Source organism: Homo sapiens, chromosome 12, assembly GCF_000001405.40.
Source record: "Homo sapiens chromosome 12, GRCh38.p14 Primary Assembly".
NCBI classification, from domain to species: Eukaryota; Metazoa; Chordata; class Mammalia; order Primates; family Hominidae; genus Homo; species Homo sapiens.
In genome coordinates this window covers 29,364,012-29,377,416 of record NC_000012.12, presented here as the reverse complement: position 1 = coordinate 29,377,416, position 13,405 = coordinate 29,364,012, and the positions used below count along the sequence as shown (strand labels likewise).

The 13,405-nt window shown below is 33.8% G+C and overlaps 1 protein-coding gene across 3 annotated transcripts in view; it reads left to right on the top strand.

The window, feature by feature from the left end:
* The window catches only part of ERGIC2 (ERGIC and golgi 2), a 43,821-nt gene that overhangs the window by 3,756 nt on the left and 26,660 nt on the right, over positions 1–13,405 (top strand). For all 3 annotated transcript variants that reach the window (XR_001748741.3, NM_016570.3, XM_024449009.2), the window contains exons 2-5: positions 5,747–5,889; positions 7,195–7,303; positions 9,130–9,176; positions 10,470–10,540. Coding sequence is in view for 2 of the 3 variants with exons in the window: in NM_016570.3 (NP_057654.2) it covers positions 5,784–5,889; positions 7,195–7,303; positions 9,130–9,176; positions 10,470–10,540 (333 nt within the window). In the remaining variant the exon portion in view is untranslated. The remainder of the gene's footprint in view (positions 1–5,746; positions 5,890–7,194; positions 7,304–9,129; positions 9,177–10,469; positions 10,541–13,405) is intronic.

The following is a 13,405-nucleotide window of genomic DNA, read 5'->3' as shown; positions in this document are numbered from 1 at the left end:
TTATATGCAAAAACTACACCATTTTATGTCAGTGACTTGAGCATCTGAGAATTTTGATATCCAAGGGAGGTCCTGGAACCAATACCCCATGGATACTGAGGGACAACTGTCTTGTCTTAGCTCCAGCTGTTATCAGTGACTTTCTGGAGTTTATTTATGTTTGTTTTGTTTTTTAATATTCAAGACAGTTTAAGGAGAGACATCAAAGAAAACAGACATAGTACTGGAGATTGTCAAGGTATGAATAGCAGCACCAACCAGTGGGCAAAGGAATCTTGTGTAACGGCTTCTAACTAGATTTTGTGGACCAATACAAGAAAATGTATATCTATTTGAGAGGGGCGGGCCGTGTGGACAGGGAAAAGGGCTGGGTATAAAAACTGACCTAGAATTACATTTTTTAATTTTGCTGAATAAAGACATCCAAAAACAAAACAACCTCTGTTATATCTGTTTTTATCATTTCATAAAGGAAAGGCTGTTTTGACAAAATGGAATAAAATAATCTCAGAATAAAGGACACATTTTAAAATGGAATAAATTTAGCTTTAAAAGTTCTTTTCTACGTTGTCCATGACTAGAAAATTTTGTCACAGAATAGCAATGACTTCTGGCAAGCATTGATGATCTGAGGTATTTCCAAACACATTTTTGAAAATGGCTTACCACACTGAGTAGAGAGGCAAATAGAGTGGGAATGGAGCAATGAAATTGGGTATCTGGTAGGATTTAAAGGATTTGAGAACACCAGTGAAAATGAAGAGCAGATTTATCTTAGGAAAGAGCTTGAAGGGTAGTTCCTACTTGGGGAGGTAAATGTGTTTTGGATTTTAGAGGTGGAACAGTTTTAAGGGTTGACCTTGCTCATGGGTGGCTTTCCATAGAATTAAGATGGAGGTCACAGGAGGAGAAGCGCTGTTAAGCTTACATGGTAAAAAGGTTTTATTGTGAATGAATGCTATAGGATAAATGCCATCAGAGCATGAATTCCAAAGGATGATAATGGAGTGGGGGAGAAGCATATTGAATGATCTGGGTGCTGAAGTCATTAAGCAAATTATGAATATATTCAGATGTTAGTGGAATATAGCAACAAGTACGGAAGTGAGAATCAGTGTGTACTGTGGTTTGGAGCATAGTTTCAAGTTCTACCACCTGCTATGTAGCCTGGGAAAATTATTTGACAGTTCTGTGCCTCATTTCCTCATCAAAAAGTAGGATTAAAAATAGTACCTGCTGCTTCATAGAGTCATTTACAAGATTAAATGAATTAATGTTTAAAGAGCTTCAAATAATACATAGCACAAAACATGAGAGATGGTTGAGAAATATGGTAAAACATGATACTTCTGTAACCTGTGAGTCTCAGAAATGACTAAGGATTGGAATGGAACTGCTGCCAATAGAAAGTCAGGTTTTATAAAGAGAGCAGACAGCAATTTCTTTTAGAAAAGCTAGAAGTTATTGGATACCTTGTTTATGCCAGACAGTGACTTTTACAGTAGGTTGGCAAGTATGCAAAATGGAATGAATTTCTTGGAGGTAGGTTAGTGCTGAGCTTTCAGGAATGGGACTGGTGGAGTAGCTGAGGGGCGAGGTGCTCCATTCTAGAGTGATATCCCCTGGAAAACAGGGATGGAGGAAGCTAGAGATGGGTAGGGAGCCACATGATATATTCCAGCTAGACTTTCAAGGGAGGAGTGTTGAATAGGTTGTATGTATTATTAGGAGATTTGTAAAACTAACTGCTTGCCGTATCTTTATGCTTATATATAAATTAAAAGAGCATTTAGAAAGCTCATTATACAAATATAACATTTATATAAACTTTTAGAAATGTAATTCACTGTTTTATTCATTTGTTTAACAGTGCTATACTGACTATGTGATGGCCACTGTTCTAGGTCCTGGGACAGTAGACAACAGGAAAATCCTTCTTGTGGATCTTATTTTTATATATTTACTTACCTAAGTATGACATACTGCTGTGATTTGAAAGATGTGCTACTGTGGTGTTTCTGGGAAAATTTCCTTCCTTCCTTTTCTCAATAAATATTGAATACCTGTTCGCTAGGCATTGGAGATACAAAGATCAAGTTAGACATGGTTCCTGCTCTAACAATCCGGTGGAGGAAACAGAAAAAGAGGCAATTAGAAATAGTGTGATAAAGGTACAACGTTCTAGAAGCAGATAGACTTTGAAGGCCATGGAAAGTTTTTTTGTTCCCCCTGCTTGCTCAAGGTAGAGATGAGTAGACTGGACCTTGAAGAGTAAGTAGGAGTTAGTCAAATGTAGAGATGCGGTAGGGGGAAGAAAAAATATTTCTGGCAAAGAGAATAGGATATTTAAGGAATTGAAAGTGATTTAATATGGTTGGAACGTAGACTGTGAGTGATTGGGTTTGAAGAGAGGTTAGCAGGACCTGGTTTTTGAAGGGCTTTGTAAAACATGTTAGGATAGAATCCAAGCTCTTAAGTGTAGTGGGAAGGGAAGTTTTACAAAGATTTGAAGAGAAATATCAGATTTATGTATTAAAAAGATAATTTATTATTACAGTATAGAGAGAGAATTGGAAGGTTGAAGATTAGAGGTTGTTGAAGCAATGTAGTGATAGATTGTGGCAGTTGGGACTAGGAACATACTTGGACATAAGGAATTTCTCAGTAGGCCTGAAGAAGAGAAGACAGGCAGATTTAAGAGAAATTTAGAAATAGCTTAAGTCTAAAGATATAACCCATGTTTCTGGCTTGTGTAGTTGGGCTTATGGTGTTATCATTAAGATAGATACAGGAGGAACAATTTTTACAGGGTGAAGTATTCATTTTTGGACTTGTTGAGTCTGAATTGTGTTTGGAATGTCCAAATGAAAAGGTAACAGAAGGCAAGGGGTTATACATATCTGCAGAGAGATCTGGGCAGAGAATCAAGATTTGGGATAAATCAACATGCAGATTGAAATGGAAGGAGTGGGCGATCATTTGGGGAAGGTGTGGAGGTTAAGGGGGAGACCTAGTGCAGAATCTTGAGAGAAAGATGAATTTGCACAGTAAGCCAAAGAGGGTTTTCCAGGTAGAATGAAAATTGGGGATGTGATATCACTTAAGTCAAGGTAAGAGAATGTTTCGAGAAGAAAAAGAAGTGATAAGCAGTGTGTTTTCTCAGAGGTGCAGTTAGATAAGGACTGAGGAGTGTCTGTCAGTACTAAGGAAGTTAATTACCTTGCTCAGAGCAAATTTAGTTAAGAGGTGAGAGTTGGGTGAGGAAGTAGTCACAGTAGATGAATGGGGACAACTCATTCTTTTAAGTTGGCTGTAGGTGTGCTGCGAGAGATGTATTGTTGGAGTTGGACTTGAGTTTAAGGGAGAGTTCTGTTTTAAAGAGAAGAGACATACAGATATTTAATATTTTACTCAAATCAGAAAGAGTAGAAATTGAAAGATTGAAAAAGGGTCAGTTTTTGTGCAGTTACTACTAAAAAGGTACAGAAAATAAATTTGATTATCAGAGCTAAACAAGTTTAGCGGGCATGGCATATACATAACAAACATTCAGAAGCTTAATTTATCGATGGGAATACCAGTTTTATAACTGACGTGGGGGTCAGAAAACTGTCATCTGTTTTGTCTATGACATCTATTTTTTTCTTTCGAATACTAAGTGCATGGGAAAAAAATCATAATTCGAAGGCTGCTTTGTGAGTGTGGAACCAGCAAGGGAAGTTTAGTTGGTTGATTTTAATGGCAGAGGAAATCAATGTATTAATGCTTTCAACTCTACTGTAGAGTAGTAGCTCCCTGCTGGACTGATAAATAGTGCTCCTGGTCAGAGCTTCTTTCCTTTAGACAGTATTCATGTTTACTGCCAGTTTTTCATTCTCTGGCCCTTCTTTTTCTTTATGAATCTTCTTTCTTTTGCCTATTCTTTGTATATTAATCCTCCCCATTAGATTTCAGACCCAAAGTCTGTCTGCTCTCTTCCAGAGACATTATTTCTCTTATAGTGACTTCTGCAACTGTACGATTTATTCTATTATGTGTTGATTTTATTAATAAAGCCTTGATTACTGGGAATTCTTTATAATATTACCTATAGTATTATTTATAAATCAGTCATAAAAATTATGTAAATATCTAAGAATTCAGTTATTTGATTGGCTTTATAACATTTTTAGATGTAGATGACGTGCTGATAAATAGCAAGCAGCCAATTTTTAAATGTTTTGATTATAAAAATAGATAACATGGGAAATCTGAAGTTATATGTAAAGGCAATTAAAATTCATGATCTACTTTTAACATTTTTGTGTGTAGATGTTCAGTTTTGTTTCTTATGTATCTTTTCCTGTCTCCCATAAAGTTAGGATCCATGTGACCTTCTAGTCTTTTCTTATTGTATCAGTATCATGACTATTTTCTTATGTCATTAATTTTTTTTTTTTTAAATAAAAGAGTTTCAGGCCAGGTGTGGTGGTTCACATCTATAATCCCAGCACTTTTTTTGAGAGGCCGAGGTGGGTGGAAGGCTTCAGCCCAGGAGTTTGAGACCCAGCCTGGGCAACAAGGTGAAACTCCGTCTCTACAAAAAATACAAAAATTAGCTGGGGGTGGAGGTGCATGCCTATAGTCCTAGCTATTTGGGAGGCTGAGGCGAGGAGGATCGCTTGAGCCAGGGAGGCTGAGATTGTGGTGAGTTGAGATCACGCCACTGCACTCCAGCCTGGGTGACAGAGCAAGATCCTGTCTCAAAAAAAGAAAAAAAAAAGATTTTCAATGGCTACGTAAAGATGCTTCACCTTAATTTGTACATTGGATACAATGGATTTGTTTCTGTCTTCAGTATTTAAAAATAACACTGTGAGAAATATCCTCGTAATCAAATTTTGGTTAAAACCGCAGGTTATTGTCATAGGATAAATTCCTCAATGGGCATTTACTTAGAAGAGGAGTGGTGTGGTAAATGTCTTCTTCTTCTTTTTCTTCTTCTCCCTTCTCCCGCCTTTTCCCGCTTTCTCCCACCTTCTTTCTTCTTCTTCTTCTTCCATTATTATTATTATTATTATTTTTATTTTTATTTGAGATGGAGTCTCACTCTGTAACCCAGACTGCAGTGCAGTGGCATGATCTTGGCTTACTGCAACCTCCACCTTCCAGGTTCAAGCGATTCTCCTGCCTCAGCCTCCTAGGTAGCTGGGACTACAGGCACGTGCCACCACACCTGGCTAATTTTTTGTATTTTTAGTAGAGATGGGGTTTTCCCATGTTGGCCAGACTGGTTTCTCAAACTCCTGACCTCAGATGATCCACCCGCCTCGGCCTCCCAAAGTACTGGGATTACAGGCGTGAGCGACCGTGCCTGGCCTATATTCTTGTTAGTAATGTATGAGCAGGCCATTTTACTTCACTGTCATTCATTATTGGAAGTGTATTATTTTTATATAGTTTTCAATTTAATAGAAAACATTATCTTAATTTTTATATTTAGACATTATTCATGTGATTGAATTACTTTTCACTTTTTTTCTTGCTATATAATGTGTTTTTGTATTTAAATTGCCTTCCATTAGTAGTTTTTGTCAGGGCATGAATGGGGAAAGGAGTAGTGTGGATAAATACTATGCTTTTTATTTTTAAGGGGGGATGAGAATGTTAAGTTGTTTTAAGGACATTTGTCAGTTATCCTAAATTTAAAGAAACCTTTTTATCTCTTTAAAGGATTCATTTATTCATTAATTTATTTATTCCTTAGCATGACTATATGAAGGAAGAGGAAGGTTTTCCTGAAGATGAGGCGACTGAATCGGAAAAAAACTTTAAGTTTGGTAAAAGAGTTGGATGCCTTTCCGAAGGTTCCTGAGAGCTATGTAGAGACTTCAGCCAGTGGAGGTACAGGTGAGTATCAGTTAACATTAAAAGTTCTGTAGTAAGTACAACTTCTGCGTGATCCAGTCAACAACATATAGAAATGTAGCCATGAGGAAGAATTTATCAATGAATTCTGCCGTAACTTCGTAACTTGTCTGTCTTCATGCCACTCTGTTGGCTGTAATTCTTATTAATATTCTCTATAGCCTCCAACACAGTGCCATCTGTGCCTTTGGCAGTGTTTATTAAAACATTAATACATTAAACCAATGTTTCTGCTTTGCTGCCCTTTCCTAAATATGTGACCTTGAGGAAGTTATTCAAATCTATCTGTCTTAGTTTCTTCCATGAAATAGGGATCATACTAGTATTTACCTCCTAGGGGTTACTATACTATTAATATTTTCATAAAATGCTTAGACCCAGTGCCTGGTACAGATAAAAGTATCAGTTAAGTAAAATAAATAATGAAATATATAAGAAAAATGTGTGACTATAACAATATTCAGTATAATTTCTTTCCCTATGAAAAGGTAGTAAAATAATGTATTTCACTTAAGGTTGACATTTTATTTGGTAAAATGGGTAATAAGTTGCTTACTATTTCTGATCCACTTGTGATTAAGTTTTGTTAATGAAAATAGTGCAAGTTCTTGCAAAATCTATTTTAAGTATTTTGCTTTAGTATATAATAGATTTTCTTTTTGTCAGATCTTTTACTCAGTTCTGTGAATGAGGTGATATATTTAGGAGATTGCCAAGTAGAGGAGAGTTTTGTTAGCTATTTAGAGATGTTATTTGAGTTTCTGGCACACAGATTATTGTGGTTTCTCAGGATCTAAGAAATTAGGCTACCTTTTTGTTTGTTTTAAATTGGGCTTATAGCCCAATTTATATACATTTATATACAAATTATATTTATAGACATGGATGCATTTTTAATAATGAAGCAACTGTTTTCAAATTTGTGCTATAAGGCATGCTTACTTTCATCATTTATCCTATCTGTGACACTGTTTTATATAAGAAATACAAATTTTGTCAACTCTACTTAGTGAGAGATGCCCTTAAAATTGGAGAAATAAAATGCTTTCTTAGTAATGCAAGTGTTTATGTTCATATTTGTATATATTAAACCTTAACTTTTGAGCTGTATTAGAAAAAATGCATAATAAACATTTTGAATAAAAACCTTCTATAGTATGCATTCAAATGGAAGTTACATTATTAGGCTTTTTCTTTTGAAAATTTAATCTCACTTAAATTAGTTTCCTATTCTTTGCTTTTTTTATTGTTTTAATTCTGTTTTTCTTTTGTTGTTGGATTTCCCAGTTTCTCTAATAGCATTTACAACTATGGCTTTATTAACCATAATGGAATTCTCAGTATATCAAGATACATGGATGAAGTATGAATACGAAGTAGACAAGGATTTTTCTAGGTAATCATTTTTTTTCTTCTTGGAATACCTTTAGATTCAAATTGTTTTAAAAAGAGCATACCTTTTAAAAAAGAAAAAGTCTAACCTTCTAGATTTGGTTTGTTTTAGTTCTGAAGAAATAGTCCTGAAAAATTCTCATTAATTGCATGCATTAAGTGAAACCTTTTAGAATCATTTAAATAGTGGTTGAATTCTAAAACTGAGGTTCTTTGATTTAGCATGCTTTGTTTCAAAAAGTTAGGGGAATATTTTTCCTTAGATATGTATATTGTGGAAATTGTTTAATATTTGAAACTGGTTGAAATACCTCACTGATCTGTGTGAGCTGGAAAATAAGTTGTCTAAGGATACATTGTATACCCTTATGACTTGATGTCTATAAATTATACCTAAGCTAAATCTTTATGTAAATAAGATTACTTTTAAACTTTTGAAAATATAGTACCTTAATTATACACTTTACATCTATTCGTTTGTATTATTTGGATTTCTTCAATGGAATGAAGATAATAGGTTTATAATATTAAGATTGCACCAAATAGGAAGACACATTTAGTTTTCAATTACAATCCAGGTTTGCCATTTACATAATTTTAGGGAATTTACTAAATCTGCACCTGTATATGCTTCAGTTTCCTTTTTTGTAAAGTACAGACAGCAATTATAGTATCTTCCTCAAGAGGTTTATGAGAATTAAATTAGTCAACATTTGTAAATTGCTGTGTAACCTTGGGCAGGTCACACCACTGACTTCTTTTGGACTTCAGTTTCTTCATCTCTAATGTACTATTCAGGATAGTATTGGTTTTCAAAGAATTTGTTGTTGTTTTCAGCACCAATGCAATACTTCATTTTTTTCCAAATGAAGTCTTATGTATTACATAGTTCGCCACATAAGCATGGTGAGGATATGCAGAAGTTTGTCTACTTGGCCTACTCCTGGTTCCTATCTCCTGAGCCTAAACTCCTGGGTTATTTGGAACACAGTTTGAACTCTAGATGACTTTAAGACTTCATGAAGGTCTAAAAATCTGTAATTCCTATTTTAAATCAGATGAAAATTATTACACAGAAAAAAGTTATCATAGAAAGCACAGGACTGAATTTGATCATAGCCAGTCTATTATTCGCAATGCTTCATTCTGGTATTCGAAAATTGCTTTGATCTAATCATTTGAAAATGAAAGGCCATGAAAAATTTTAAGCATCAGGTGATTTACTTTTGGTAGTTTGGTTGCATTTATCCTGAGTTACATAGACCTAGTTTCCAGTATGCCACTTTAATGGTGATGTGATCTTAAGCCAGGTATTTACACTACCGTGAACACCAGTGGTTTACTTGAAAATCTGTGAAGCCATCCATTTATAGCTCCATGATATAGAATAAAGGAGATAATATTTGTAGAACATCTAGCATCATGCTTAATATATGGTGTTTGATAAACAGAGAAGAAAGACAATTCCTAATTCTTGATTTTGAGAGTTTTACATTCTTAAAAGAACATTCTATCAAAAGTTTATGTAAATAGAGATTAAGAGGTTAAGACTTTTTCTGAGTTGCTTAGAGTTATTGATTATAGAGTTGCCATTATTAAAGGATACTGTGTTCAAAAACCTGTGAAGTCAGAAAGGCTTTTGGAATAAGGGCAAAATAGAACTTGTAATTTAAAGAGCCTTTGTTTTGGCCATGAGAAATGCAATTCAAGTTCTAATCGACATAATTTATTCTGCTTGAAATCCAAGTTTTTAATAGGTCAGTTGATTTATATTTCTCATGTTTTGCTAATTAATTGGTAGGTACTAATGTTTAATATTTTGTCTTTCAGCAAATTAAGAATTAATATAGATATTACTGTTGCCATGAAGTGTCAATGTAAGTACACCTTCAACTTGCTGAATCCACATGTAGGTTATGGTTCAAACAATTGCCAAGCAAAAATAAAAATCACTGGTTGTACTTTATTTTTCCTTTATAATATTTTAAAGTTTTACTGTGGTATTATTTAATAATACAAATTGTTTTACTCCTCAGCTTATATTCTTCAAGTTTCTTTTCCATAAAGAGAAGAGATAAAACTTTCACATTAGTATAATTAAAAGAAAGTTGGAGGAAATGTTTGTGAATCAGCATTCTAGTTTATGTACATCCTTTCTGTCTTTTTTTGTTTGGAGTACTAGCTTTTATACCCATGTTTCACAAGCATATCCTTGTGTCACTGTTTCAGTTTACCACCTTTTATGTTTACTCTTGCGTTTAAAAATACAGATCCAGTTATTTTAAGTTAATGGTGATAGGTTACCCTTTTCTTTTTTCGTCACTGGACTCACTTGGTTATACTAATAGAAGTGGAAAAATGCTAATATGCCAGATAGTGAATGTTTGAATCAATACTGTTTTCAAAAATAAGAATGCTTTTGCATGAAAAATATTTTATGAGTTACTGCTTAAAAATTACAGACCAAGAACTCAGAGAAAATTTTTACATTTTTAAAAGTATGAAATAATTTTACCCAATTAATTAGAGGTTATTTTCTGTGAGATTCTATCTCAGAACGACCTTGAATCTCTTTCTTTTCAATATGTTTTTCCTTATGTTGGTGGTTTTAAGAGATAAAAAAATACTTTATTTTTAAACTTGTAGTTAGTGGTAATTCTGAATATATGATATTCTGCCTTATTTTGGATGTTTAAATACTGTTAAATTTTAGCCTTTTCCGAATAAAATTTCCTATTTGTTGATTTGTAGCATAGCTTTACGATTTCTTTTAATCTCTAAAAATATTTCTTGGAATTAATATTTTGTTCAGCAGCCACTTAGTACTTGTGATTAGGTTCTTGCCGATATTTGCAAAGCTCTTCAATTCAGTGACGCTTATCCTTTTTAAATGAGATCTTGAATTATCTTTTTTTTTTTATTGGGTAAGAAGTTTTTTACTGGGTAAGAAAAAACATTATTACATTTTGGAATAATCTCCACCTAAGCTATATAAGGCTACTGTTTTAGCTTTTGGACAAATATATCGGAAATTATTCTACATAGTTGGTGAGGTTTTTTTTTTTTTTTTGCTTGGTGAGTTTTCTGTTAGTTGGCTTAATTTGTTTATATTGGGGATGGTTTGCCTCCAAGCATAGAATGTAAAACTTCTAATTCTTTTTTCTATGCAGATGTTGGAGCGGATGTATTGGATTTAGCAGAAACAATGGTTGCATCTGCAGATGGTTTAGTTTATGAACCAGTAAGTTTGATTCACATGGTTTTTTGAAATACACGGGTTGAGGAATCGTACGCTTGAAGACAGATAGTTGCTTTTAGTTTTGTCTGAAATAGTTTTTAGTATAATTCTTTTATTTCAAAAGTAATCCATATTCTTTGTAATAAATTTAGGGGGAAAAACAGAAAAGTTATATTATATACCAAAATCTTGAGGTGACCATTATTAACATTTTGGATGTATTTTGGATGTGTCTAAAGTCTGTTTTATAACCTTTTTTAATATTTTTGTTATTACTTTCCAGTAGTTTCCTTTTCACTTTTCTTCTAGTTATAGTGATGAGTTTTTTTCTTTTTCTCTAGTAATTTGGAAACTTTTATGTCCTGTTTGTATTCTACTATGACCAAATTTAAGTATTTAAAATATTTGAACTGTATTTCTCTTACAATCAAGAATAAAGTAGTATCTTTCTAAGAGGAGAAATGTCATGGGCATTACTACTTCCTTCCTCCTTTACGCCTCTATTTCCCTCAGCGTGTGAAATGCTGACATTTTCTTATTATCTTCAGAGCACAAGTTGAATATAACATCGTAGATTTATCAGAAAATATTGTCACATTTCAGTGGCAGATACAGTGATAACGAGTCATGATCAGAACTAGCCCTAAATAAGCTTTCGAGAATAAGCATGAGGCCCTCAGCAGCTAAAAGTTGCTCTGTTGGCATGGTGGTACTTAAATTTACGCATGCGTTCTTGAGTTCCTTTTCTTAATCATTGACAATTGTGAACCTTTCTTTTAGCAAATTTGCAAAGTGAAGAGTGAAGGTGAAGGAGGGGGAGTAGAAGTGACTGAATGTATGGGGTTAAAGGAAAGAAAATGAAGTCCTTGGCCAGTTTTGATTATTGAATTAATTTTAGTTTACAGCTACAAACTTGATATGTGCCTTTTGACATATACATTTTAAATAGAAATTTCTACAGAAACAGTAACTTTTGTTATTGCCACTCTGACTCTACTTTCTGACTCGTTTTCCCACTCAAAAAATCGATTTTGAAGTAATTTTTTATGAGCTTAGTTACCTTACAGATTCATATATGACAGCATATTACACTATTATCTGCTCATTTTGATCTAAGTGATTATTATTAGATATTTTAATATTTGTATTACATTTTATACTATCTTAAGAATACTTATTTAACTTTAACTTTGTTTTTTTTTTTTTAATTTTCTGCCATTCTTACCTTATTTTTGTTTATCATTTTGAAGAGGGACTGTTTTTTCAACTTTTAGTTTAGATTCATGGAGTACATGTGAAGGTTTGTTACCTGAGTATATTGTGTAATGCTGAGGTTTTCAGGTTATGATTGATCCCATCACCCAGGTACTGGGCATAATAACTAGTAGTTTTTCAATCCTTTTCCTTCTCCCTCCCTCCCCTCTCTAATAGTCCCCACTTTCTGTTGTTGCCATTTTTATGTCTATGAGTACCCAGCGTTTAGCTCCCACTTATAAATGAGAACATATGGTGTATGGTTTTCTGTCCTGCCATTTATTTGCTTAGGATTATTGCCTCCAGCTGCATTCATGTTGCTGCAAAGGATAAAAGTTTCTTCTTTTTTATGGCTGCATAGTATTCCCTGGTGCATGTATACCACATTTTGTTTATCCCATGTACCACTGATGAGTACCTAGGTTGATTCCATGTATTCGCTATTGTGAATGGTGCTGCAATAAAGATCAGAGTGCATGTGTCTTTTGCATACAATGATTTATTTTCCTTTGAGTATATACCCAGTAATGGGATTGCTGGGTTAAATAATACTCTACGTTCTTTGAGAACTCTCCAAATTGCTTTCCACAGTGGCTGAACTAATTTCCATTTTTACCAGCAGCATATAAGTGTTCCCTTTTCTCCACAGCCTCTCCAACATCTTTTTTTTTTTTTTCTTTTTGACTTTTTAGTAATAGCCATTCTGACTGGTGTGAGATGGCCTCTCATTGTGGTTTTGATTTGCATTTCTCTTATGATTACTGATATGGAGCATTTCTTCATGTTTGTTGACCACTTGTATATCTTTTGAGAAGTGTGTGTTCATGTCCTTTGCCGACTTTTTAATGGGGTTGTTTTTTACATGTTCAATTTATTTAAATTCCTTATAGATTCTGGATATTAGACCTTTATCAGATGCATAGTTTGTGAATATTTTCTCACATTCTGTAGGTTGTCTGTTTACTCTGTTGGTAGTTTTTGTTTTTGTTTTCTGTGCAGAAGCTCTTTAGTTTAATTAGCTCCCACTTTTCAATTTTTGTTTTTGTTGCAATTGCTTGTGGGGACATAGTCATAAATTCTTTCCCAAGGGTGATGCCCACAATGGTGTTTTCTAGGTTTTCTTCTAGGATTCTTATAGTTTAAGGTCATTTAAATCTTTACCCATCTTGAGTTAATTTTTGTATATGGTGAAAGATCTGGGCCCAGTTTCATTCTTCTGCATATGGCTAGCCAGCTCTCCCAGCACCATTTATTGAATAGAGAGTCCTTTCTCCATTGCTTATTTTTGTTGATTTTGTCAAAGATCAAATGGCTGCAGGTGTGCAGCTTGATTTCTGGATTCTCCATTCTGTTGAGGGGGGACTTTTTGAGATTTATTTTACAGCAAGAATGTGTAGGTATGTTTTATGGATTCTAGCATGACTGCCTGTATCTTCTGCTATTATCTTTTATTACCCATTTTCTCTGTTGCTCTGAACTGGGAAAATCCCTTTCACATGGGTTTTTCTATCCTATGAAATAAACTTATTTTGTGCTCTTTCTCAATTTGGTTTCATTTGTATGTTGTCTTGTATAAATTCATGAAAGTTTACAGCATATGAATATTAATTTAAA